This window comes from Homo sapiens, chromosome 11 (genome assembly GCF_000001405.40).
Source record: "Homo sapiens chromosome 11, GRCh38.p14 Primary Assembly".
Classification (NCBI taxonomy): Eukaryota; Metazoa; Chordata; class Mammalia; order Primates; family Hominidae; genus Homo; species Homo sapiens.
The window spans coordinates 63,931,620-63,957,522 of record NC_000011.10 but is presented as its reverse complement, the minus strand read 5'-3'; the positions used below and the strand labels follow the sequence as shown (position 1 = coordinate 63,957,522).

The following is a 25,903-nucleotide window of genomic DNA, read 5'->3' as shown; positions in this document are numbered from 1 at the left end:
GTGGCACAAACACATACATTTGGTCTCTGTTCCCAGCTCTGGCTGCTTGCCCCGGACAGCCTGAGTTTTTTCTCCAGCATGGGGCTATCATAGCTATGCACCTCCTGATGTTCGGGCCCAATGTTGGGACAGGCTCAGGGTCCAGAGCTTCCCAGATCCACGCTGCCCATGGTGCCCCAGCATCAGGAAGCCATCTCAGCAGCTGACCAAAGTGTCTTTTATTTGTGACATACAAATACAACCAATGCAAGAAGAGATCACTTTTTCCCTTTGATTCCAGTGATAACAAGCTGCTAAAGAAAAAAAAAAATATATATATATATATATATATCAAGGAGTTTATCTTCCAAATTTCCTCTTAAAAAAAAATTAAAAAGAACCATTCACATGTCCTATACATACTTGACACCAACAAAAATAACCTGAAATAGGGTGGATATAACTAAAATTTTAAAAATCTTAAAAAAATCTTAACATGCTCCAAACAAACAAACAAAACACAAAAAGCCTGGTAAAAAAGGCCTGCTATGTTTCTCTTTTTTTTTTTTTTGAGATGGAGTCTCACTCTGTCGCCTAGGCTGGAGTGCAATGGCGTGATCTCAGCTCACCACAACCTCCACCTCCTGGGTTCAAGCGAGTCTCCTGCCTCAGCCTCCCGAGTAGCTGGGATTACAGGCCACAACCACGCCTGGCTGATTTTTGTATTTTTTAGTAGAGATGGGCTTTTGCCATGTTGACCAGGCTGGTCTTGAACTCCTGACCTCAGGTGACCCGCCTGCCTCAGCCTCCCAAAGTGCTGGGATTACAGGTGTAAGCCACCGCACTCAGCCATGCCTGCTGTTTCTCAAAACCAAGACCTGGGGGAAGTGGAGAAAGATGGATGTTTTGGAAATGAATGGGCTCAAGACCAACAAGAGTGATTGCAGGTCTCAGATAGTGCCTCTCCCACCCTAGTCCCGACCTCCTGAGGAACCCTTCAGGACATGGCCTGCAGAGACTAGGGTGAGCAGGGTATGGCACCAAGCACCCATTGACCAGTTGGTGCCACGTATCCAGTGACTGGAAAGAGACAACGTAGACTGAACTCACCTTACAAGGGATGAACACGGGGGGGTCCCTTTTGGTCCCCTTGAGTGAGAGGTATCAGGAATCCATGATCTAAGACAATAAATATTTAGCATCTGTGTCCTTTCAGAGACAGGGACCAGAGACAAATCTCTTCCTAAACATGCTCCTGTGGTTTCATGATTCTTAGGAGTCCACCAAACCCCTCCAGCAATGTCAACTCTGCCTGGGATGAAACCCACCAGGAGCCAGCAGGGTGAGGCAGAGGCAGAGGCAGACTTATTCCAGTGTAAAGCTGCAAGGCCCTCTCTAAGGAGTTCCCAGTCCCACTGCTGCCCATCAAGAGCAGCGCAAAGTGCTCAGCAGAGGGGCCAGGCTGGGTGAGGGAGGCCCTGTGTACACAGGCTCCTGCACAAGCAGGAATCCAGGTGAGAAGCAAGGACCACTCTGGGGAGATCTGCCAGGAGAGACTGCCAGAGTTGGGCAGAGGGTGGGATGTGAGCAGATGCTGAGGTCAGAGGGACCAACAGACCTCCACGAGAACAACTTCACGAAGGCTAGAACCTTTATGATACTCCCCACAGCAGAGCTCAGGGATATCCAAAGGGAGCTGTTAGGTGCTTTTTCCTTGATAAGGATTTGGCTTTTCTTCCCTGGAAGAGGAACAAGGCCTAGAGATCAGGATGAGCATTAGTTCTGAGCCTGCCTTTCTATCCTATGAGAGAAGAGGAAGGCTTTCTCCTTCCCCTGCTCCAGCCTGTTGCCACAGGGTGACACCAGAGAGAAAAGCAACTGTTGGCCACTGAGAGGCATTTCTGCTGCAGCCTGAGCTATGGCCCGGCTGGGCCACGGCAGTGGCACTAGTGCCTCACTGAGGCAGCGAGGGGCAAGCCTGAGGAGTGCAGGCAGAGGGGCCTGCTGCTGGCTGGGGGCTCTCTGAAGAGGGAGGGTGGCTGTGGGGAGGTGTGCCCTACCCTTAGAGAGCTATCAGCACCAAGATAGGAAAATCAATGGAGTTAACTACATGAGGAACGAGAAGTCCTTCTGGGGAAGATGAGGGGCTCCCTGATGTTATTCTCCCCTTGAGACTAAGAACAGAGGTATTTGGGGTAGAGGTGAGAGGCAGAGGAGAAAGAACGACGAGGGCTGGCAGACAAGAACAAGCAGAACCTCTGGCTTTCTTCTATGAATCAAAAGCTCAAGTCACTGCCATGAGACCAGGAGGTTAAGCTTAGAATGCAGCAACATCCAGGAGCCTAGAGAAGCAATCATCCCCATGGCGGGTCCCAAGAACACCTCATTGTTGGTCCTTTCAGGCTCTCTGACAGCGATGGAGAGGCAGTCTTCCTCCCAGAGTCAGCTGGTCCCAACATGAGCCCACTCCATGAATCCATAAAAACAGCTGGAAAGAGCTTTCTTCATTTCCCTGCATCTTGGCACAAAAGATCTTCCCAGTCTCCGTTAACAGCAATTCCAACTGCGCAAGCGTGAGTCTCTCTGAAGCCGCCCTCTACACCCAGATCTTACACCCAGTGTGTTCCTCTTTGGGGACCAGCAAACCCCAGACCCAGGACTCCAGAACTTTCATAAAGGTGGACATAAACATTCCATTTGTCCAAGTGTGTATGTGTCAGGGGAGGGGAGGTTGCCAGGAATCTAGGGGCTGCAGAGGTGCGAGAACCTCCACTGCAGGCCCCAGGAGCCAAATGAGGAGGCAGCCACTGTGGAGGATGAGCTTCACTGCCCGGCCCCACCTACTCTTCCCTCTCCCTTTCATTCCCTTCTAGCACTCTGGTCTCCTAGGAGAGGAGGAGCAGCTGATACCACTTCTCCCCAGGGTTCTGTGCTCTCAGGGCGCAGCCTGGCACGTGCAGGGCTGGGGAGGCCACAGCTCTGAGGACACCCGGTGAACAGTGAGACCAGGAAAGAGGAAAGGCCTTAGGAGAGAGCATTGTGACTTGAAAGTGGCTCTGAGAGTTCAGTGGCAGCAGCCACCACAGTGCCCACCCGCGTGGGAGTGATGGCTGTCCCCAAACTTGGTCCTCCGGCTCAGGATCTCATAGGAGCAATCCTCCCCACAGCAACCGGACATGCTGGGGGAAGAGTCATCAATTTCAAATCTGCAAGGCAGGCAGGAGAAAAGGGTTGGTGGCAGGCAGCTGAGTGCCTTCCTCCCTGGCCCGAGAACTCTTCTACCAGCCACACTGATGAGACCCTTAGGATGAGGGTGCAGGAGGTGGACAGTGGACCAAATCAGAGAGCACTGCCATACCATCTCCCTGAACCTGAACCCCCATGGACCACTGGACCATGAGCTCAGGCATCAGAATGAGTGAGGGCCAGGACCAGAAAAATGGCCCTGGGCAGGCCCACCTACCACCCAGAAGGGCCCACACCCAGCTCCTTACTGCAACGCTTCTCTGAAGAACTGGTAGGCACCATGATTGTGTTTAAATACTGTTAACATAACCTTCTTCATCTGTGTGCTGGAAGAAAGCAGAGCAAACGCCTTTTAGAAAGAGAAACATGGCCAGGCATGGTGGCATGCACCTGTAATCCCAGCACTTTGAGGGGCAAAGGTGGGAGGATCATTTGAGCCCAGGAGTTAGAGACCAGCCTGGAAAACATAGTGGGACCCCATTTCTACAAAACATTTAAAAATTTAAAAAAATCAGCCCAGTATAGTGGCATGTGCCTTTAGTCCCAGCTACTCCAGAGGCTGAGGCTAGAGGATCACTTGAGCCTGGGAGGTAGAGGCTGCAGTGAGATACGATCACACCACTGCACTCCAGCCTGGGTGACAGGGTGAGACCCTGTCTCAAAAAAGAAAAGACACAGAGACTAAGGTCATGCTTCCTTTCCTTTCTGCCTTTGTCTGTTACCTCCCTTTCACCCACACGAGTGTTCCTGAATTTGGCCTCTAGCCTCTGGAGGTCTTGGACCCCCACACAGCACTCACTGCTTCCCCCATCACAGGCTGATCAGACTGCACAGGCATCGGCCCTGACCAGACTGGCTTCTTCCAGAGCAAGGATGTTTCCCACTTCCTCTCTGTAGCACCATTACTTCGGTACAGAAGGTGGCAGAGATTAGAAACTCAAAAGATGCTCACTGGCCAGGTGTGGTGGCTCATGCCTGTAATCCCAGCACTTTGGGAGGCTGAGGTAGGTAGATCACCTGAGGTCAGGAGTTCGAGACCAGCCTTAACATGGAGAAACCCCGTCTCTACTAAAAATACAAAAATTAGCCAGGCATGGCAGTGCGCGCCTGTAATCCCAGCCACTTGGGAGGCTGAGCAGAAGAATTGCTTAAACCCGGTACGTGGAGGCTGCAGTGAGCCAAGATGGCACCATTGCACTCCAGCCCGGGCAACAAGAGTGAAACTCTGTCTCAAAAAAAAAAAAAAAAAAAAGATGTTCACTGCACTGAGCTAAACAAACAAAATCTGGAGTCATAATAAGGCAGGGAGCATCTTACTGAGAGGGTTCTAAGACACCTTTCTCCCAAAACATGCCTATGAGCCTCCTCCTCCAACAAGGCTCAAAGAATGGCAAGTGCCTCAGTGACAGCTCCTTCCAACTGAGTGCTATATGGGCCTCCTAAGAAGGGAGGCCTTACCTGTTGGCCATGAGCTGCAGGATCTGTATGAGGAACTTCCCCAGGCCTTTCCGCCGCACCTTGCTTTCCAACTGCACTTCATAGCTAGGTGAAGAAAGCAGAGAGGTGAGCGTGCAGGATGGGACATGAAGAGGCTGTAAGGTCTGGCAGAGGAGCTTGCAGTCCTTGGCAGCTCATAGACCTAGGTAGGTCCAGGGGCTTTGTCACCTGGCTGGAGTGCCTGGAACATCGCCAGGGTCTCTCTCCCCTACCTCCCCCAAGCCATGGCTCCTACCAGTACAGGACTTCATCCCCACACTCCACGTCAAACCGGAAGTGAGAAAAGGCAACAGGGACGGAGCTGTTTTCCCACGCGATGAGGTACCAGGCTCGGTCATCTGTCATTTCCTCCCGTTTCTCTCGGTCCTTCCAGCCCCACTCGCTCTGCTCATACCTGGGGAATTTGGGAGCAGTCAGACGGGAAAGCTGCGAGAGGAACTAGGCTCCCCTGGTTGGGACAAGCTTACATGGTTTGCATATTCGTTTTGGTCAGGTCGAAGGCCCAATCCACGGTGGCTGGCTCCAGTCCAGACACTCGCTTACATTCAATGGAGACATTCAACCTGAGAAGAGGACAGGACGTGTACGGAATTGGTTACAGCACTCCTGCCAGGGCACTGCTGTTCCTCCCTCAGAATCACAGGGAGGAAGGCCCAGTCTCAGTTACTGCACAGAGAAAAGCCAACCCTGTATCTGCCCCAGCATGACTAGAGAAGGTGCAGGAACAAAGTCTTTCAGGCTGAGATTAACAACTGTGGCCACACGGCCCACCCCCCAACCACAAGGCCCGTTTCCTGCCTCCCCAAGCTGTCCTAATCCGCCTCGGCACTTTGTAAACTTCTTGTCCCTCTCTGCTCTCTCTTTATTCTTTTTCTACCTTTTCTGTCTCTTCTGTACTTTGTTATAAACACTCATGTCTTCTGTTATTTAGTTCCTGCCCTTAGGCATTTTTCCTGTTGCTGTAATTTCTGAGCTGACTCCTCACTAGGCTCCCATGGGACCCCATTCCTCTTATCTACCAATTGCGCCTTCAAAACCACTGGGTGACCCTAGGTCCTTCGAGAAGACTACGGCTCAACACGCCCCACCCCGCCCCAGGAGTCCTGCCTGCCTCATCTGAGCAGGGGGGATACTCTCAGCTGATCAAACAGATTGAGGCAGGAATGGTGGCTCACACCTGTAATCCCAGCACTTTGGGATGCCAAGGCATATGGATCACCTGAGGTCAGGAGTTCGAGACTAGCCTGACCAACATGGTGAAATCCCGTCTGTACTAAAACTACAAAAAAATTAGCTGGGCATGGTGGTGGGTGCCTGTAATCCCAGCTACTCGGGAGGCTGAGGCAGGAGAATCGCTTGAACCTGGGAGGCGGAGGTTGCAGTGAGCCAAGATCGTGCCATTGCACTACAGCCTGGGCAGTGAGAGCGAAACTCTGTCTCCAAACAAACAAAAAAAAACCGGGTGAAGCAGGCTTCAGCCCAACACTGTTTTTCTAAACCCACAAATGCCTAAGTGTTAAGGTATCTGTTTCTAAATGAAATTTAAGTAAAAAACAGTTAAACTCCTTGACTGATCTGTGAAATCACATTCCCTAGAGAGCACTACATTCTGAAAGGACTAGAGTCAGCAAACTCTAAGCCTTTAAAGAGCTCCCGTATCAATACCTTTCAGTGACCTTTGACACAACCCCCAGAGGATGTACGCACTGGAATCCCATCACCTCTACTGACTGGCACACCACACTCAGCCTTATGAATTCAGAACTCCCTGCCCCTGAAGCATCTTCCTTTCTTTATCACCCACTTAGCCATCACAGCTGCCCAAACACAGCACTGCACCTATCTTAACTATAAAATGTCCAAAGCCCACCTGCAGGTACGAATTCTCCATTAAAGTACATGAAAGTAAGATCACAACCACAGGAACCACACAAAATTCAAGGCACCAGAGGAGCCCAGACTTGGCTGGCAATGCCTGTTTTGGAGCTATTCCACATTTCTGGAAGTCAATGGGAATACGGAATATGAAAACACTATGAGGCCGGGCACAGTGGCTCACGCCTGTAATCCCAGCACTTTGGGAGGCCGAGGCGGGCGGATCATGAGGTCAGGAGTTCGAGACTAGCCTGGCCAACATAGTGAAACCCCATCTTTAATAAAAATACAAAAAATTAGCCGGGCGTGGTGGGGGGTGCCTGTAATCCCAGCTACTCCGGCGGCTGAGGCAGGAGAATTGCTTGTACCAGGGAGGCAGAGGTTGCAGTGAGCCAAGATCATGCCATTGTACTCCAGCCTGGGCGAGACTCTGTCTCAAAAACAAAAACGAAAACACTATGAGATATCACAATATGGGATATCTAAAGTATGTCAAAAGACTTTCCAGGCCGGGCGCAGTGGCTCACGCCTACAATCTCAGCACTTCGGGAGGTTGAGGCAGGTGGATCACCTGAGGTCAGGAGTTCGGGACCAGCCTGGCCAACATGGCGAAACTCCGTCTTTACTAAAAATACAAAAATTAGCAGGGCGTGATGTCATGTACTTGCAGTCCCAGCTACTCAGGAGGTAGAGGCAGGAGAATCACTTGAACCCAGGAGGCAGAGGCTGCAGTGAGCCGAGATCGTGCCACTGCACTCCAGCCTAGGCACAGAGCGAGACTCTGTCTCAAAAAAAAAAAAAAACAAAAAAAACCTCATACCAGCTGCTACTTACTGAGCTGCATATATTCTCTTTCTTCCTTAAAAAAAACCTTCCAAGTTTGGCTGGGCACGGTGGCTCACACCTGTAATCCCAGCACTTTGGGAGGCCGAGGCGGGCGGATCACAAGGTCAGGAGATCGAGACCATCCTGGCTAACACGGTGAAACCCCATCTCTACTAAAAATACAAAAAATTAGCCGGGCGTGGTGGCGGGTGCCTGTAGTCCCAGCTACTCGGGAGGCTGAGGCAGGATAATGGCGTGAATCCGGGAGGCTGAGCTTGCAGTGAGCCGAGATGGCGCCACTGCACTCCAGCCTGGGTGACAGAGCAAGACACCATCTCAAAAAAAAAAAAAAAAAAACAGCTTGCAAGTTTGGCATCATCATCCTATTTGACAGGTAAGAAAATGAGGCTTGAGGAATATGAGTGACTTCTCCAAGTAGAGTTATTAAGAAGCCCAGCTACAATTCAATCCCCCAGAGCCCCAGTTTATCCCCAAGCCAAGATGTTACATTCTGGAAGCACAACTCATCAACAGCATCTCAGGTAAGGCAGATTATACTTCCTATTTTAGAAACCAAAACGAGAAAAAAACGTGAGGGGGCCTTCACTCCAGAGCCTATAGTTAACTGGATCAGTAATAGTAACAGCAAACAGGGTGAGGGTTGAAAATTTACCTATTGGGTACGATGATTACTATTTGGGTGATGGGTACACTAGATGCCCAACCCCACCACTACACAGCTGCACATGTACCCCGCGAATCTAAAATAAAATTTTAAAATAAAATAACAGCAAACACTTATCTAGCTTTTATTATGCTGCAGGAACTAACACTTTACATCTTATCCTCCTGACAAGTCCATGAGAAAGGTACTATTATTAGAACCATTTTTGGTTTTTGGGTTTTTGTTTTGTTTTGAGACAGGATCTTGCTGTCACCCAGGCTAGAGTGCAATGCTGCTACCATGGCTCACTGCAGCCTGCATCTCCCAGGCTCAAGCAATTCTCCCACATCAGCCTTCTCAGTAGCTGGGAATACAGGCATGTGCCACCATGCCCAGCTAATTAAAAAAATTTTTTTTTTGTAGAGACAGGGTCTTCCTATGTCGCCAGGACTGGTCTTGGACTCCTGGGCACAAACGATCCTTCCAACCTCAGCCTCCCAAAGTGCTGGGATTACAGGTATGAGCCACCACACCTGGCCCAGGCCCATTTTTAAATAGAAAATTGAGGAACAGAAAGGTTAAGTAATTTGTTCAGGGTCAGCTGGGCACAGCACTTTAGGAGGCCGAGGTGGGAGGATCACTTGAGGACAGCAGTTTGAGACCAGCCCGGGCAACATAGGCAAGACCCCTTCTCTACCAAAAAATATATACATTTTTTTGAGATGGAGTCTTGCTCTGTTGCCCAGGCTGGAGTGCAATGGCGCAATCTTGGCTCACTGCAAGCTCCGCCTCCCGGGTTCACGCCATTCTCCTGCCTCAGCCTCCCGAGTAGCTGAGACTACAGGTGCCCGCCACCATGCCTGGCTAATTTTTTATATTTTTAGTAGAGACGGGGTTTTACCGTGTTAGCCAGGATGGTCTCGATCTCCTGACCTCGTGATCCGCCCACCTCGGCCTCCCAAAGTGCTGAGATTACAGGCGTGAGCCACCACGCCCAGCAAATATTTTTCTTTTTAAAGAAGAAAAGTAATTTGTTCAGGGCCAAATAGCCAGGAATTGGCTTTTAACAATTATACTGTATACTCAGGGAAAGAGCACTAGATTGGAAATTAAAAGCCCCTCAGCTGTCAGGGGAAACTCCATAAACTCAGAAAGCTCATTTGACTCTCTGGGCCTCAGTTTCCCATGCATTAAATGTGAGTGTCAGCCTAGATAATTTTCCAAGTTTGTTTCAGCTCAATGATTCTTTGCAGAGAGAATAATCAGTCCTGAAGAGACATCAGGCCAGGCGCGGTGGCTCACACCTGTAATCCCAGCACTTTGGGTGGCTGAGGCAGGTGGGTCAGTTGAGGTCAGGAGTTCGAGACCAGCCTGGCCAACATGGTGAAACCCCATCTCTACTAAAAATACAAAAATTAGCTGGGCGCAGTGGCTCACACCTGTAATCCCAACACTTTGGGAGGCTGAGACAGGTGGATCATGAGGTCAGGAGTTCAAGACCAGCCTGGCCAAGATGGTGAAACCCTGACTCTACTAAAAATACAAAAATTAGCTGGACGTGGTGGCGGGTGCCTTTAATCCTAGCTATTTGAGAGGCTGAGACAGAGAATTACTTGAACCTGGCAGAGGTTGCAGTGAGCCGAGATCGCACCACTGCACTCCAGCCTGAACGACAGAGTGAGACTCCGTCTCAAAAAAAAAAAAAAAAACCCACAAAAATTAGTGAGGTGTGGTGGCACGCACCTATAATCCCAGGTACTTGGGAGGCTGAGGCAGGAGAATCGGCTGAACCCAGAAGGCGGAGGTTGCAGTGAGCCGAGATTGCGTCACTGCACTCCAGCCTGGGTGACTAAGCAAGACTCCATCTCAAAAAATAAAAGAAAAATTTATCTAAAGAGACATCAGTCTGAGATTAAGTGCAATCTTTGCTCATTTATGGATTCTTCTGCCACCCTACCTGGGGGATTTTATATCAATATAGGGCACGAGTCAGTTTCTGCTTTTGTTTTGTTTTGTTTTGTTTTGTTTTGAGATGGAGTTTCACTCTTGTTACCCAAGCTGGAGTGCAATGGTGCTATCTCGGCTCACTGCAACCTCTGCCCCCCGGGTTCAAGTGATTCTCCTGCCTCAGCCTCCCGAGTAGCTGGGATTACAGGCGATCGCCACCGTGCCAGCTAATTTTTTGTATTTTTAGTAGAAATGGGGTTTCACTATGTTAGCCAGGCTGGTCTCGAACTCCTGACCTCATGTGATCCACCCACCTCGGTCTCCCAAAGTGCTTGGATTACAGGCGTGAGCCACCGCACCCAGCCCTGTTTTTTCGTAAATACGAAGAACAATGAGAAAATTTGTGTCTGAGGAAGCCTACTCTGGAAAGGGAATTCCTGAAGACACTCGAGGAGACAGCAGTTGGTAATGCTCAATGTGACTCACCCGTTTCTATCATATTTCTTGAACACTGGGAAAGCCTCCAGAGGGTCTCCAAGCTGTGGAGGGAAAGAAAAGAGGAACAGCACAGACAAGTGGGGCGGAGGTGCAGATCCTATCCCAAGAGCTGTTGTCTTGGAGTGGGATGCTGTGGGGACCCACAACGGGAGACTAACTTCAGAACCAGGAGCAGCCTCCCAAAACCCACCATTTGCCTAGCTCTGAAGTCACATGTGCGAGGAAGGCTTTGGTGGAAAGGCCCAGGAGAGTTAAGTTTGGCATCACCTGACAGGGCAAGAGGAGACCTCATTAGCCTGTGGGCATACAACCTGCTCACAGCACAGCTAACCCAAAGAAGAGGCTACCTGATCTGCTGCACACTGACTTTACCTGGTTACAACTCCAAATGGAAAATCAAGCCCCTGAGCCACATCCTTATAAATGAGTGTTTACTATGAGTGGGTTAAAAGAATGACCAAAAAATGGGATACTAAATGGAGGCAGGGGCTGGGCACTGTGGCTCACGCCTGTAATCCCAGCACTTTGGGAGGCCAAGGCAGGTGAAATGCTTGGGCTCAGGAGTTCAAGACCATCCTGGGCAACAAGGCCAAACCCCGTCTCTACAAAAATTACCCGGGTGTGGTGGTGGGCACCTATAGTCCCAGCTAATTGAGAGGCTGAGGTGGGAGGATCACTTGGGCCCAGGCGGCAGAGGCTGCAAGGTTGAAGTGAGCCGAGATAGTGCCACTGCATTCCAGCCTGGATGACAGAGTGAGACCCTGTCTCACACAAAAGAAAAAAAAATTATCTAGATCCTCCTCTATTCATAAGGAAGAAGATCCACAGGGAGGCAGCCACTTCACTGGAATCCACGTTTTCCCAAACACCTGGGCCAACTGCTGGCGCCAACTTCCAACACACAGGTATGAGCTCAGTTCCCTGCACAGCAAGGAGGCAGAGGCGGTGTGGGTGGGTAGTGTCACAATTCTGCCACAGGGTGGAGACAAAATAAGTCAAATTATAAACCAAGCTGAAGTCCCAGGAGGCAGGGACTGGGAAGAAAGGGAGAATCACCCTGTTGGCAGCGTCCACTTTGGCACAAACGGCATCCATGGCTGCTCGCTCCTCCAACCGCTTCTGCTTCTTCTCCTTGGCTTTGCTTGACTTTCTCTGCAACAGGGAAAAGCAACGTTAGCTGGAATGGCTGTGGCCAATCAAGCACTGACTTTCCCTTTAAGGAATCGAAGGGCCCTGCATCCACAGGCCTGGCCCAGCAGTGAGAAATTTCCCACCTCTGCTGCCACACATTTGGAGGGGCGGAAAGACCCAAGCAGGTCATTTTGTAGTGGGGAGTCCTCAGAGGTCACCAGACTTCTCAGCTTCCCTTCAGAAAGAGCACTGGCCGTCCTGACACAGACACTGTGGGGACCCAGCGAAACAGCTGACAACGCCTACAGCAGGCCAGCCCCCAGCAGGCACTTAGTAAATATTCACTCACCCGCTCCCTCCTAAGGAGGGAACACCCAACTTTAGACACACTGAAGACCGCTTCAGGGAGGAGACAGCATCTAAGGTAGCCGTTGATGGCTGTTCCTAAGTTTATTCAAAGCCTTTTCGGTGTCTTCCAGCTTTGGGAGACAAAGATCTGGTTGGCCACAGCTCCTGTGGGAGCCGGGTCTCATTTCAAGTGGGGGCCACCGTGTTCGGACTCAAGGACACAGAGCCATTCCCAGAAGCCCTGCTCAGTTAAGGCCAACGAGTGACAGGGCACACCCAGTGACAGGGCAGAGGGCAGGGGCCCAAAGGGTTCACCTCAGGACACAGATGACACATGGCCAGCAAGACGAAGCTGCAGGCACACAGTCAGCAGCAGGGCAGCAGAGGAGCAGCAAGTGGGGATTCTCCTGGCATAGAGCAGCGAATGGCAAATTGCCCACAGCTGCTTCTAGATCAGGTCCTGTTTTGAGGCCGACGTGAGATTCTCTCAGGCCTAAGACCCACTCACCCTATTGTGAAAAGCCAGGTAACACACGGCAAGAGCCAGGCTCTGACACCTGGCAGGCCTCATCCAAAACCTCCTTTTTTCTCTTCTTTTTTTTTTTTTTTTGAGATGGAGTCTCACTCTTTCACCCAAGCTGGAATGCAGTGGTGAGATCTCGGTTCACGGCAGCCTCTGCCTCCTGGGTTCAAGCGATTCTCCTGCCTCAGCCTCCCAAGTAGCTGGGATTACAGGAGCGCACCACCATGTCCAGCTGATTTTTGTATTTTTAGTAGTGACGGGGTTTCACCAAGTTGGCCAGGCTGGTCACTAACTCCTGACCTCAAGTAATCCGCCTGCCTCAGCCTCACAAAGTGCTGGGATTACAGGCGTGAGCCACTGCGCCAGGGCTGTCCAAAGCCTCTTCCTGCTCTCCACCCTCTGCAGTGCTAGGACGAGGCACAGCACTTCTCTGAGCCTCCCCTGGCTTGATGACTGAGGGTCCTTATGAGGGTTAATATGGTATGTGTTCAATAAAAGGCTATTCTCATTCTCTCTCCCCAGGACAACAAGAGAGCACAGGCATGCAGACTGCATGCACCACCCAGCTGGTCCCCAGAAGGCATCCCAAAGGCACTGGTAAGTTGGCTCTGCTTTTTACCAATAGAGCAGCCTCTTTTGACACCTCCCCCCCAACACCCCTCCTTTCCCTGAGCTCTCTGGAGAGGTTTGACAACTCCCAATTACATCTAGCCCTGACACGGACTGGCCCCAGGAAAGGACACTCAGAGCGATTAACCTTCTGCATGAGTTGAAAAACCAGATGCTGGGGAAGTTCTCAGAATCAGTTCTACCCACTATTTTCCAAGGAATGACACTGCTTACCTCCTACTTTAATCAACCAAGAAGAAAGGAGTTCAGATACCAGGAACTCACAGGGATTGTTCTTATAGCCACAAACTCTACCAACACCAGCTATTAATTATCTCATGGCTGAGCGCTGTGGAACACAGGCAAGATCTCATATCTTACCTCCCTAGAGGAAGGAACAAAATAGAGAATAGACTGTCTTCATAAGGCTGGACTCCTGGAACAGAACTAGCCTCCCTCTACCATGGACAGGTTTAGAGCATTCATCTTTTTCTCTGGAAATTTAGATTTCAAGACAACACAGAGATAAAGCTTGCAAAGTACCTTTACAAACATTATGTTTCTTTTTTTTTCTTTATTTTTTTTAGAGATGGGGGAGTCTCACTATGTTGCCCAGGCTAGTCTCAAACTCCTGAGCTCAAGCGATCCTCCTGTCTTGGCCTCCCAAAGTGCTGGGATTACAGGTGTGAGCCACCACACCCGGCCTAGGTTATGGTTTCAATTATCAGGGCAGAAACTATCACTTCCCTTTACACAATAGGAAACTGAGCCTTGAAGAGACAATGTGACCACTCAGTTCTGCAGTGAATAAAGGGCAGAGGGGAGACTCAATCCCAGGGATGGGCTGCAGATCATGTTTGTTCCACTGGCCACACTGTCCCCTACTGAGGCGCCTATGTCCTGCATAGTGGACTTCCACTTGGTCATCAACAAAGATTCTTGCACCCTGCCACGATAAGGCCTGGGCTTCAGAAGCCCTCAGCAACCACTCGGCAACTCCTTTCTCATTGCCTGGCTGGTTTGGTAACAGCGTGCCAACACAGTGCCGCTATACACCCTACCCTCTGCACTGAGGCAGAGGTGAGGGACAGAGAAGCGTCGGATGGAAGGTGTCCAGGGCTGCACCATGGGGCAGAAGAGCATGAGCTTTGGCGTCAATCAGATTGGGCCTATGCTCTTCCTGACACCCCCAGAATGACTTATGAAAGCAACTCCATCTCCATGAAGATGGGGGTACAAATGTTGGCCTCTTGGAGCTGTAAGGGCAGGTTAGAAGCCAGCACACCTTCAGTGCAGGTACAAGCTCCCTTACTCCACCCTACATGCTTGTTCTCTTATACAGGGCTCAGGGATCAAAGGTGCTGGAGGGCAAGGGTAACGCCCAGAACCCAGAAAGCACTGAAGCCTGGGTTCCCTCCATCTCACTTCTAAGCATGAGCAGTAATTCCCAAGAACAAGCAGCAGGAGGGCCAGCCGGGCCTCTAGTAGATTTGTGGGCTCATTCATGTAGACCTGGCAATCCTCAGAGCAAGGCCTGGAGCTGCCATGGCCTGAGACCGCAATAACTCAAGAACCCCTTACGAGCTCCGCTGCCTGCCCATGGGGCAGAAGGCAGGGTGCAGCCAGCTGGGCCAGACAGGCAGGGAGGGGCCGCACTAGGAAAAGTGGTCTCCTACTGTTCCAATTAGCTTTGCCCCTGCCTTGTGGAAGTAAGGCTGTCCTACAGGGACACAGGAAAATGCTCCTAATTAAAATGGATAATAAGCACAGTGAACAGTAAAGCTCACTGTGGTTAAGTGTCTTTTCCAAGGGAGCTTTGTACAAAAAAAGAGAGTGCGGGATTTTGAATCAAAAGACCTGGATTTGATTCTCAGCTCTTTCACTTACTAGCTGCGTGACTTCAGGCAAGTTACTTAAGCTCTTTTCAGCAAGTTGCTCAAAATTTCTCTCTCAGTTTTCTTCTCCATAAAATGGGGCTCGCAATGTCTACACCAACAGTCGCAGGAGGGGACTTCTGTTTACAAAGACCTCCCTCAGATCTTCTGCCGGTGCTTTAATAAAGGTGATCTATTTTACTTTTCACAACCCAGCATGGTAGGTGTGACTACTTCTTTGATGAGAAACCTGAGGCACAGAGAGTTAAGGAACTTGCAGGGTCACAGAGGCGGTGAGGAGAGTTCTCAAAGCGGTCTCTTCCTCCCACTCCCTCCAACTCTCCCCATGAGGTGAGGGTAGATCCGCTTTATCTGGCTATGTTCACCCAGTGCTCACCAAACAGCAGATACTCAGTTCACATCTGCTGAATGAATCATCCAAGATCCAAATCCACGTTTGAACCCTAAAGTCATGCTCCTTCCACCATGTCACAATCACATGTATATGGCATTTTTTGTTATAAAGTGTTACATAAATGTTTCCATGTGCAGTGTAAAACTCTTCCCCTTACTATTCCCATTGAAAAAGTAACTCCACACACAGTTCTACGACTGGAAGGGGTCATAAAGACAAATTAAAAAAAACACACCCAGGCTGGGCGCGGTGGCTCATGCCTATAACCCCAGCACTTTGGGAGGCGGAGGTGGGTGGATTACCTGAGGTCAGGAGTTCAAGACCAGCCTAGCCAACATGGTGAAACCCCGTCTCTACTAAAAACAGAAAAAAGTAGCCAGGCATGATGGTTAATACCTGTAATTCCAGCTACTCGGGAGGCTGAGGCAGGAGAATCACTTGAGCCTGGGAGGCAGAGATTGCAGTGAGCTGAGATTGTGCCACTGCACTCCAGCCTGGGCAAAAAGAGCACAACTCTGTCTAAAAAAAAAAGGAAAAGAAAAGAAAAGAAACATCCAGATGGGAGGAGGAGCCACTTTTCAGAAAAAGAATTTGGCATCTCTTAGATTTTCAGTATCAATGTCTCTACCCCATATACTATCCAATATCCAAAAAGAATCTGTTTTTGGTGAAGCAAGAGAAATATAAATTCTAACTCCTGAAAGATGACACAAATGTGGCAACTAGGACACGTGTGTGGCAACTGAAGAGAAAGCGCTCCATCTGAAGCCTCACTCAGCCTGAGGCCAGGCTCTGCCACAGGGTAACTACAAGGAATGATGACTTCCCCAGCACCCACAGTTGTGGAATGAGGGTGATGAGACGGTTCCAGCTGTTTCAGGGAGGAGAATTCAAGTCTCTCTTACTGTCAATTTTAGGCCAGAAGAGACTTTGTAGGGTCTCATGTGAGAAACACATCTGTAAAGTATAAGATTGAGGCCCTAAAGGAAGCAAGGATCGCAGAATCTCTGGGGCATATTTCTTTTTTCCTTCACCCTGTCTTATGGTGTTGAGGGCCTGCTATTTCAGTCCAACCAACGAGGAAGTGTTGAACTAGAACGGCATGTTACACTTCTTGTTTTCTGCTTAATCCGCAGTGGCTGCTTCTGGTTAGACAGTTACTAAGGGACACAGGTTTCATTTAGTTTCAACAATGGCTGTGTCTAGGACCTTTCACCAAAATTTAGGTTAAATATGCCTAAGGTCTCTAGACTTGGTTTTCTACATATGAAGTACGTAATACCCAAAACTATTTGTTAAAACACGATGACTGTTTTGACACGGATTAGACAACTATTTTTGTCTAATAAGTTGATTTGTTCAGTCGATAAATAGTGGAGTGACGGGAAAAAAAAAAACTAGGTTAACAACAGTAGGGACAAACCCAATGGGTTAAAAATAGCACAAATCCATTTTAGATCAGTAAAGTTAAGGCTGAGGATACAGACAAAAATAACAGCCACTACTTAGGAGACACCTCCTTAGCAATCTACATCCATTATCTCACTTAATCTTCACTACTACCCTAAGGGGGAGGTATTAGCATCCCAATTACAGAGGTGAGGAAATTCAAACACATAAAGGCCAACTCACTGGCACACTATTATACCACCAGCAGCGAAGACGGGGCTGGAAGTGAGGTACCTCGGGCTCCAAAGTCAGGGTTCCCTTAAGGTGATGGAAATTCCATGTAAATACTAATATAGGCCTGTGTGGTGGCTCACGCCTGTAATCCCAGCACTTTGGGAGGCCTAGGCGGGTGAATCACGAGGTCAGGAGTTCGAGACCAGCCTGGCCAACGTGGTGAAACCCTGTCTCTACTAAAAATACAAAAATGAGCCGGGCATAGTAGCGGGCGCCTGTAATCCCAGCTGCTGGGGAGGCTGAGGCAGGAGAACCGCTTGAACCCAGAAGAAGGAGGATGCAGTGAGCCGAGATCGCGCCATTGCACTCCAGCTTCGGCGACAAGAGCAAAACTCCATATCAAAAAAAAAAAAAAAAAAAAAAAAAAAGAATACAGCCAATACTAGGAAAAGCGTTATCTTTTTAGGAGGGTGACTGATACTGCTGTAATTGAGACTTAGTAAGGTGAACGCACAGAAACTTGCAAATAACTTCTGCCCTACCCTATATCCCGGGAAAGTAAACTAAAATGCACCTCCAGGCTGCCGGCACGGAACAAGTGGTCAATATCCATCCGCGGCTGGGCCGCCGCCCCCGCCTCCCCGCATCTTCCCCGCACACCTGCACAGCCCTCCCCTTGCAAAAAACACCTGCACTACCAAAACCCCTAACAACCCAAGCGGTCGTAAGAACCATTTCATTGCAACCAGGAGGCGTCGAAGGCAGGAGTCTATGGGAAAGGAAGGCTGTGTTTATCAGGAGCAGCAGGAACCTGGTGGAGAGGTTTCGAAAGAGTGTAGGGGAACCGGCTTCGCTGAGACTCGAGTAACGGGAAGGGCAGTGGACTGGGATTCGGGAGGCCCAAGGTGGGGTCTGACGCCCCCGACAATATGACCTTGGCTAGGCGCCTTCTTTCCTCTGGGCCTCAATTCCCTCCAAGCCAGGGTTGACCTCGGATGTGAAAAGCGACGAAGCTGGTGACAGCCAGGTGATGAGTGACCCTGGGGGAGCGGGAAGCTAACCCCAGGGTCCCCGCGGGGGACGGTGGTGGGGAGGCCAGTAACGGGTCCGCGAAGCAGGAAGGGGCGGGCGTGACGCTGGGGGCGCCGAGGGGGTGGGGCCCCGGACCAGGGGCTCTCCAGAGGATTCCCGGGCTAGGCCTAGCGTAGGGACCCTTAGAATGGGGGAGTCGGGTCATGTGGGGGTCAGGGGTCACGTGAGGCTGGAGGGGGTCGGGGTCACGTGAGAGGGGGGTTTAAGAACAAAGGGGGCGAGGGTAGCGAGGAGCGCCCCTGGACCTCCCATCTCCTCTCTCTGCCTCACTCACCCCCATAGCGGCGGCGACAACGCTCAGCTTCTTCTTCACACACTTGCCGGCAGGGAGGCGGCAACGGCGGTGGCTGCAACAGCGGCGGCAGCAGAGCGGACGGCCCTGCAACGCGCATGCGCCTCGCAGCTTCCCCCCCCCCCCCCGCCCAACCGCGCGCCCTCGTACCGCGCCGGCGCAGAACCGGCGCAGGGCAGCGGTGAGCCGGCGCGCAGGTGGAGCGCCCGCTAGGCTGGCCGAGGGTCTCCGACCAGGAGGAGGCGGGAGCGCGGAGGAGCGTCGCGCCGGGAATGACGTGCGGCCAGAGCCCGCCCCCTCGCAGGGCTGCGTCTGTAACTATGGCAACGGCGGCGCCAGGCCTGGCTGCTCACCCAGGCCGTGAGTCGCGCGCCGCTGGGGGCCGGGTGGTTGGCAGCACCTCCCCTGCGGCCAGCGACTCCTTGGCCCCGCGCGTAGCAGCCGGCGGCACAGCCACCTTCCCAGGCGGCCAATCGCGTCTCGACCTCTAAAGTACCTGCCCCTCCAGAGCCCTAGCGCGCGTAGCGGAAGTCTTTGGAAACTTTCCCACCTTCCAGATCTTGACTCTTGAAATTCCTTTTCTAACCAGAGTCCTGTTACTCATTCATTCGTCTTCTAACCATTCATTCCCCCTCATTCATTCACGTTCTCAATAAAAATTAACTCGCATCTACGCGGTGCTGAGCCCAGGGGGCACAGAGAGGAGCGAGGTGCCATCTCAGCGCCACACCTCAGGGTTTAGAGGGGAGACGGGCACGTAAGCACTGTTTAGGAGAGAGTGGACAGTGCTGTTAGCGTGAACACCAGGCATCCCGGAAAGTTTTAATTTCAACCCATCCCCAGCACACCGGAGTGACCCGCACGTGACCCGAATCCAAACCGCCGGGGGCGCTTCCGCAGTGTGCACACCTCTGCCAACCTCCCCCAGAATCTCCAGGGGTGGAGCCAGAGTCTTCACTTCCTAGTGCTCCCCAGGTAGGGAGCGAAAATTAGTGAAATGCTTCAAGACGAAAATTAGTGAAATGCTGCCCAACACTTAAGCTTCATGGACTTTTTCAGGTTTTGCTCATTATTCCATCTTTTTGTTTTTTTAAGAGACAGGGTCTCGCGGTCGCCCAGGCTGGAGTGCAGTGGTGCAATCACAGCTCACTGCAGCCTCGACCTCCTGGGCTCAAGCGATCCTCCCGCCTCAGCCTCCTGAGTAGCTGGGACTACAGGTGTGCACTACCATACGCAGCTCAATTTTTATTTATTTTTTGTTGAGATGGGGTCTCACTGTGTTACACAGACTGGTCCCAAACTCCTGGGCCCAAGCGATCCTCCCACTTTGGCCTCCCAAAGTGCTAGGATTACAGGCGTCAGCCACTGTGCTTAGCCTCATTATTCCAACTTTAGTGCTCAGTACAGTGGTGGCCTCAACAACATTTATCCAGTGCCTACTGTATGCTAGGCACTGTTCCAAGCAGCAAGGAAAACAACAATAAGAAACAGAATAGGCACCACCCTTGTATCCTAGAAGGAGGAGACCGATAATAGATGAAATAAATAGGTAATATACATAGTTAGTTAAATGATACAGGCTCGGCCGGGCGCGGTGGCTCACGCCTGTAATCCCAGCACTTTGGGAGGTAGAGGCGGGCGGATCACGAGGTCAGGAGATCGAGACCATCCTGGCTAACACAGCGAAACCCCGTCTCTACTAAAAAAATACAAAAAATTAGCCGGGCAGGGTGGCGGGCACCTGTAGTCCCAGCTACTCGGGAGGCTGAGGCAGGAGAATGGCGTGAACCCGGGAGGCGGAGCTTGCAGTGAGCCGAGATTGTGCCACTGCACTCCAGCCTGGGCGACAGAGAGAGTCTCAAAAAAAAAAAAAAATGATACAGGCTCTAGAAGGAAGAAAAAGCAGGGAGAGAGCACAGGGAAGGTCAAGATTTATAGTTGTGGCCTGGCGCAGTGCCTCACACCTGTAATCCCAACACTTTAGGAGGCTGAGATGGGCGGACTGCTTGAGCTCACGACTTTGAGACCAGCCTGGGCAACAGAGTAAGATCCTGTCTCTGCAAAAAAATTTAAAAATAAAAAAAAATTAGCCAGGCGTGGTGGCGTGTACTTGTGGTCCCAGCTACTCTGGAGGCTGAGGTTAGAGGATTGCTTGAGCCCGGGAGGTGAAGGTTGCAGTGAGCCGATAGCGCCACTGAACTCCAGCCTGGGTAACAGAGCCAGACTCGGTCTCAAAAAAAAATAAAATAAATAAAAGCTTGGCGCAGTGGCTCACACCTGTAATCCCAGCACTTTGGGAGGCCGAGGCAGGCAGATCACGAGGTCAGGAGATCGAGACCATCCTGGCTAACACCATGAAACCCCATCTCTACTAAAAATACAAAAAAATTAGCCGGGCATGGTGGCAGGCGCCTGTAGTCCCAGCTACTCGGGAGACTGAGGCAGGAGAATGGCATGAACCGGAAGGCGGAGCTTGCAGTGAGCCAGGATCGTGCCACTGCACTCCAGCCTGGGCAACAGAGCGAGACTCTGTCTCGAAAAATAAAATAAAATAAAATAAAATAAAATAAAATAAAATAAATAAAAAAGGCCGGGCACGGTGGCTCACGACTGTAATCCCAGCACTTTGGGAGGCCAAGGCGGGAGGATTACCTGAGGTCAGGAGTTCAAGACTAGCCTGACCAACATGGAGAAACCCTGTCTCTACTAAAAATACAAAATTAGCTGGGTGTGGTGGCACATGCCTGTAATCCCAGCTACTCGGGAGGCTGAAGCAGGAGAATCACTTGAAGTGGGGAGTCAAAGGTTGCAGTGAGCCAAGATTGTACCGTCGTACTCCAGCCTGGGCAACAAGAATGAAACTCCATCTCAAAAAAAAAAAAAAGAGAGAGATTTATAGTTTTAACTAGGATGCTCAGGAAAGGCAAACATGAGGTGATACTTGAGTCAAGATCTGAAGGTGAGGGAGCAAGTAATGAGGACGTCTGGGGAAAGGGCATTGCAGGCAGAGGAGGTCCTAGAACCACCCTGGCTTCTGGGTTGAGATGAGAATGTAGGGACAAGGTCAAAGGAAGGACAGTCCAGGCTGGGCAAGGTGGTGGCTCATGCCTGTAATCCCTGCACTTTGGGAGGCTGAGACAGGCAGATCACTTGAGGTCAGGAGTTTGAGACCAGCCTGGCCAACATAGTGAAACCCCATCTCCACTAAAAATACAAAAACTAGCCAGGCGTGATGGCAGGTGCCTATAATCCCAGCTACTCGAGAGGCTGAGGCAGGAGAATTGCTTGAACATGGGAGGCGAAGTTTGCAGTGAGCCGAGATCAGGCCACTGCACTCCAGTCTGGGCGACAGAGCAAGACTCTGTCTCAAAAAAAAAAAAAAAAAAAAAAAGAAGGACAGTGTCCAGAGGCCACTGCTATAATCAAGGCAACAGATGAAGCCTCCACGGTTGAGCAGCGGCAGAGGTGGGAGAAGGGCATTGAAGGTAGAGCCTACAGGACTTGCAGATTTGGTGTGGGGTGTGAGGGAAGGATCAGAGCCAAGCTACTTAGCCTGAGCTGCTAGAAAAATGGAGTGGCTTCAATTGAGATGTGGATGACTTTGAAAGGAGCTGGCTTGAGTATAGGGAAGATCAGGATTCTGTTTTGGCCACATCAGGTCTGAGTGCTTTTTAGACGTTCTGGTGGAGACGTGGGGTAGTCAGAGTTGAACTCAGGAGAGGGGTCCACGCTGGAGATAACAATTTCAGCACAGTCGGTGAATAGATAATATTTAAAGCTGTGAGACTGGCCGGGCATGGTGGCTCACGCCTGTAATCCCAACACTTAGGGAGGCTGAGGCAGACAGATCGTTTGAGGTCAGGAGTTTGAAACCAGTCTGACCAACATGGTAAAACCCCGTCTCTACTAAAGTACAAAAAAACCTTAGCTGGCCATGGTGGCAGGCACCTGTAATCTCAGCTACTCGGGAGACTGAGGCAGAAGAATCGCTTGAACCCAGGAGGCGGAGGTTGCAGTGAGCTGAGACTGCGCCACTGCACTTCAGCCTGGGTAACAGAACGAGACTCCCTCTCAATAATAATAATAATAATAAAATAAATAGAAAAGACAAAATCAAATTTGATTTTTTAAAATAAATAAATTAATAAAACTGTGAGACTGAGGCCGAGTGTGGTGGCTCACGCCTGTAATCCCAGCACTTTGGGAGGCTGAGGTAGACGGGTCCCTTGAGCTCAGGAGCTCAAGACCAGCTTGTGCAACATAGCGAGACCCTGTCTCTACCACAAAAAGAAAAAAAAAAGCTGTGAGACTGGATGAGGCCGTGGAGGGAATGCAGTTAGACTGGAATGAGTGAATCTTTGGCCTGACAGCCCTATTGTGTGGTCAGGAAATTTGTTGTGGTTGCCAGCCCTCTAGGGACCAGGAGAGGGAGCTGAGAGTGGGAGGAGGGTAGCCAGCTGGGAAGAAGGGATATCCAAGCTTATCTTTGAAGAAGGAAGAGGAGGCAAGGAAATTTCTTTTTTTTTTTTTTTTTTTGAGACAGAGTCTCGCTCTGTCGCCAGGCTGGAGTGCAGTGCAGTGGCACAATCTTGGCTCACTGCAACCTCCGTCTCCTGGGTTCAAGCAATTCTCTGCCTCAGCCTTCCCAGTAGCTGGGATTACAGGCACCCGCCACCATGCCTGGCTAATGTTTTTGTATTTTTAGTAGAGACAGGGTTTCACCATCTTGGCCAGGCTGGTATTGAACTCCTGATCTCGTGATCCACCCGCCTCAGCCTCCCAAAGTGCTGGGATTACAGGCATGAGCCACCACGCCCGGCCTAGAAATTTCTTTTCTTGTCTTGTCTTTTTTGAGACGGAGTCTCGCTCTGATGCCCAGGCTGGAGTGCAGTGGTGCAATATCGGCTCACTGCAACCTCCCCTCCCGGGTTCAGCGATTATCCTGCCTCAGCCTCCTGAGTAGCTGGGACTATAGGCATGTGCCACTGTGTCTGGCTAATTTTTGTATCTTTAGTAGAGACAGGGTTTCACCATATTGGTCAGGCTGGTCTCGAACTCCTGACCTCATGATCCACCCACCACAGCCTCCCAAAGTGTTGGGATTACAGGCGTGAGCCACCGCACCCAGCCTAGGCAAGGAAATTTCAACTGACAGAAAAGGATTTGCAGAGCCAGGGCGGTGTGAGGGAGTGGATAAGGTGAGGGATGAGACTCCACCCCCACCTCGGCACAGTCCCCACTGTGTTTTGGTTTTTCTGGTCTCCTTACCTACAGGGAACTTCATGGTCAGCTGTTTCAGTGCACAGATGACTGCCACCACCATCCCCTGTGCCCTGTCCCTTCTGCCATGCCCCACTCTTGGGTTTGCTCCCTGCTCCCCCAGCCTGCTGGAATTTGCTGGAAACCAGGCAAGGCCTGGGAGGTGAGCCCAGTAGTCCTTGGGGGAGGTGACATCATCCAGGCCACCCAAGAGGCCCGAAAAGGCCCAGTGCCCTATTTCTGCCCCAAGGCAGCATCCTTCTGTCTGAGGCCTGCCCTGATTATGGGCCATCTCTCCTGCTCAGGGCTTCCTTGTTCTTGTGGGGTGGTGGACAGAGCCTGCTCTGGAGTTGGACCAACCTGTGTTTAAATCTCCTTTCTGCTACTTGTTGGCCTTGTGACTTTAGGCAAGCTGCCTACTATCTCTGAGACTCAGTTTCCTTATTTGTAAAGTGAGACCACCAGTAGCAATCATCTTCATCTTCAGTAAAATCTTCTTCTAGGGGTGGTTGTGAGAATTAAATAAGATGGGATGGATGGCAAGGCCTGGGGCAGGAATGGAACCCCATACACCCATACAAAAGTATATCAAAGTGGCCAGACGCGGTGGCTCACACCTGTAATCCCAGCACTTTGGGAGGCTGAGGAAGGTGGATTGCCTGAGGCCAGGAGTTTGAGACCAGCCTGGGCAACATGGTGAAACCCCGTCTCTACCAAAAGTATAAAAGTTAGGCCAGGCGCAGTGGCTCATGCCCGTAATCTCAGCACTTTGGGACGCCGAGGCTGGTGGATCACAAGGGTGGATTCGAGACTAGCCTGGCCAATATGGTGAAATCCCATCTCTACTAAAAATACAAAAAGTAGCTGGGCCTGGTGGCAGGTGCCTATAGTCCCAGCTACTCAGGAGGCTGAAGCAGGAGAATCGCTTGAACCCAAAAGGCAGAGGTTGCAGTGGGCCAAGATTGAGCCACTGCACTCCAGCCTGGGCAATAGAGGGAGACTCCATCTCAAAAAAAAAAAAAAAAAAGGGTGAAACCCCGTCTCTACTAAAAATACAAAAATTAGCCCGGCCTGGTGGCGGGCGCCTGTAATCCCGGCTACTCAGGAGGCTGAGGCAGAGAATTGCTTGAACCTGGGAGACAGAGGTTGCAGTGAGCAGAGATCGCACCACCGCACTCCAGCCTGGGCAACAAAGCGAGACTCCATCTAAAAAAAAAAAAAAATTAGCCAGACGTAGTGACGCACACCTGTAGTCCCAGCTACCTGGGAGGCTGAGGCAGGAGAATCGCTTGAACCCTACAGGCGGAGGTTGCAGTGAGCCGATATTGCACCACCGCACTCCAGCCTGGGCAATAGAGCAAGACTCTATCTCAAAAAAAAAAAAAAAGTATGTGTCCCCTTCTCCCCTCCCTGGCATCGCATCCCTCCCGCCGCACCCACATTGACCAGGCTTTCTACGCTGCCTCATTTACCCTTCTCTCCAACCCCCACGCAGGGGGCTGAAGCACCCCTTCTCCACACTCGGCTCCGACCTCTCCGGCAAGGGACTCTGTCTCCCTCATCTCTCCGAGGCCCCTGGACTCCCTGGCTCCTCCCTCCTCCGCTGCCTCTTCCTCCCTATGCCTCAGACACAGCCACTCCCAATCTCCAGGCTTTGCCCTCTTCTCCCTCTATGGCCCGCAGCCGCTCCCAAGTATTCATTCACTCCTTCATTCAGCCAAGGCACGGGGGCCGCCATGTGCTCCGCTTTGCCTTCTGTGCGGAGGAACAGCTTGGGAGACAGCTCCTGCCAGAGAAGGAGAGCACGTTTGGGGAGGGCAGTCATCGCACTGTGTGATGAGTGGGCAGCTGAGAGTCCCCGGACTTCCCCAGAAGAATCTGAATTTACACTTCTCCTCCTGCCACCCAAGGCCAGGTCCACCTAGAGTGTCAAACGCTAAGGCCCCTCAGGGTCCCTCCCGGCTGTGAACCTCTTTCCCCAGGCCTCCTTCGCTTGTGCTCCTTCCTGGCTCCTGCCCGCCCTAGGGGGCCTCTCTTCCCTACTCAAAAGCTTGTGGAGGCCAGGGGTGGTGGCTTACGCCTATAATCCCAGCACTTTAGGAGGCTGAGGCAGGTGATCACTTGAGGTCAGGAGTTTGAGACCACCTGGCCAACACGGCAAAACCCCACCTCTACCAAAAATACAAAAAAAATTAGCCAGGAGTGG

The 25,903-nt window shown here is 51.1% G+C and overlaps 1 protein-coding gene across 5 annotated transcripts, besides 7 other annotated features; it reads right to left on the bottom strand.

Moving 5' to 3' along the window:
* Positions 1–203: 203 nt before the first annotated feature.
* NAA40 (N-alpha-acetyltransferase 40, NatD catalytic subunit) lies at positions 204–18,521 on the bottom strand. 5 transcript variants are annotated; one of them, XM_011545254.3, is made up of 9 exons: positions 18,421–18,521; positions 11,588–11,683; positions 10,722–10,798; positions 10,520–10,572; positions 5,190–5,285; positions 4,958–5,116; positions 4,684–4,767; positions 3,474–3,551; positions 204–3,185 (listed from the first exon to the last, which is right to left on the bottom strand). In XM_011545254.3, the coding sequence occupies exons 3-9, from the start codon at positions 10,722–10,724 to the stop codon at positions 3,044–3,046; spliced, it is 615 nt and encodes a 204-aa protein (XP_011543556.2). In that variant the 5' UTR covers positions 10,725–10,798; positions 11,588–11,683; positions 18,421–18,521; the 3' UTR covers positions 204–3,043.
* Positions 11,551–12,480: an enhancer, noted in NCBI's record as "H3K27ac-H3K4me1 hESC enhancer chr11:63712515-63713444 (GRCh37/hg19 assembly coordinates)". NCBI's record gives its function as "activates a minimal SCP1, AML or CMV promoter by ChIP-STARR-seq in naive H9 embryonic stem cells {active_cell/tissue: H9 hESC(naive)}" and the evidence as "EXISTENCE:reporter gene assay evidence [ECO:0000049][PMID:30033119]".
* Positions 18,415–18,600: a silencer, noted in NCBI's record as "fragment chr11:63706395-63706580 (GRCh37/hg19 assembly coordinates)". NCBI's record gives its function as "represses an EF-1alpha promoter that drives an FKBP-Casp9 reporter gene in an ReSE screen in K562 erythroleukemia cells {active_cell/tissue: K562}" and the evidence as "EXISTENCE:reporter gene assay evidence [ECO:0000049][PMID:32094911]".
* Positions 18,415–18,609: a biological region, named in NCBI's record as "ReSE screen-validated silencer GRCh37_chr11:63706395-63706580".
* Positions 18,530–18,609: a silencer, noted in NCBI's record as "silent region_3452". NCBI's record gives its function as "represses an Ori minimal core promoter by ATAC-STARR-seq in GM12878 lymphoblastoid cells {active_cell/tissue: GM12878}" and the evidence as "EXISTENCE:reporter gene assay evidence [ECO:0000049][PMID:35858748]".
* Positions 18,640–18,779: an enhancer, noted in NCBI's record as "active region_4879". NCBI's record gives its function as "activates an Ori minimal core promoter by ATAC-STARR-seq in GM12878 lymphoblastoid cells {active_cell/tissue: GM12878}" and the evidence as "EXISTENCE:reporter gene assay evidence [ECO:0000049][PMID:35858748]".
* Positions 18,870–18,919: a silencer, noted in NCBI's record as "silent region_3451". NCBI's record gives its function as "represses an Ori minimal core promoter by ATAC-STARR-seq in GM12878 lymphoblastoid cells {active_cell/tissue: GM12878}" and the evidence as "EXISTENCE:reporter gene assay evidence [ECO:0000049][PMID:35858748]".
* Positions 19,018–19,518: an enhancer, noted in NCBI's record as "H3K4me1 hESC enhancer chr11:63705477-63705977 (GRCh37/hg19 assembly coordinates)". NCBI's record gives its function as "activates a minimal SCP1, AML or CMV promoter by ChIP-STARR-seq in naive H9 embryonic stem cells {active_cell/tissue: H9 hESC(naive)}" and the evidence as "EXISTENCE:reporter gene assay evidence [ECO:0000049][PMID:30033119]".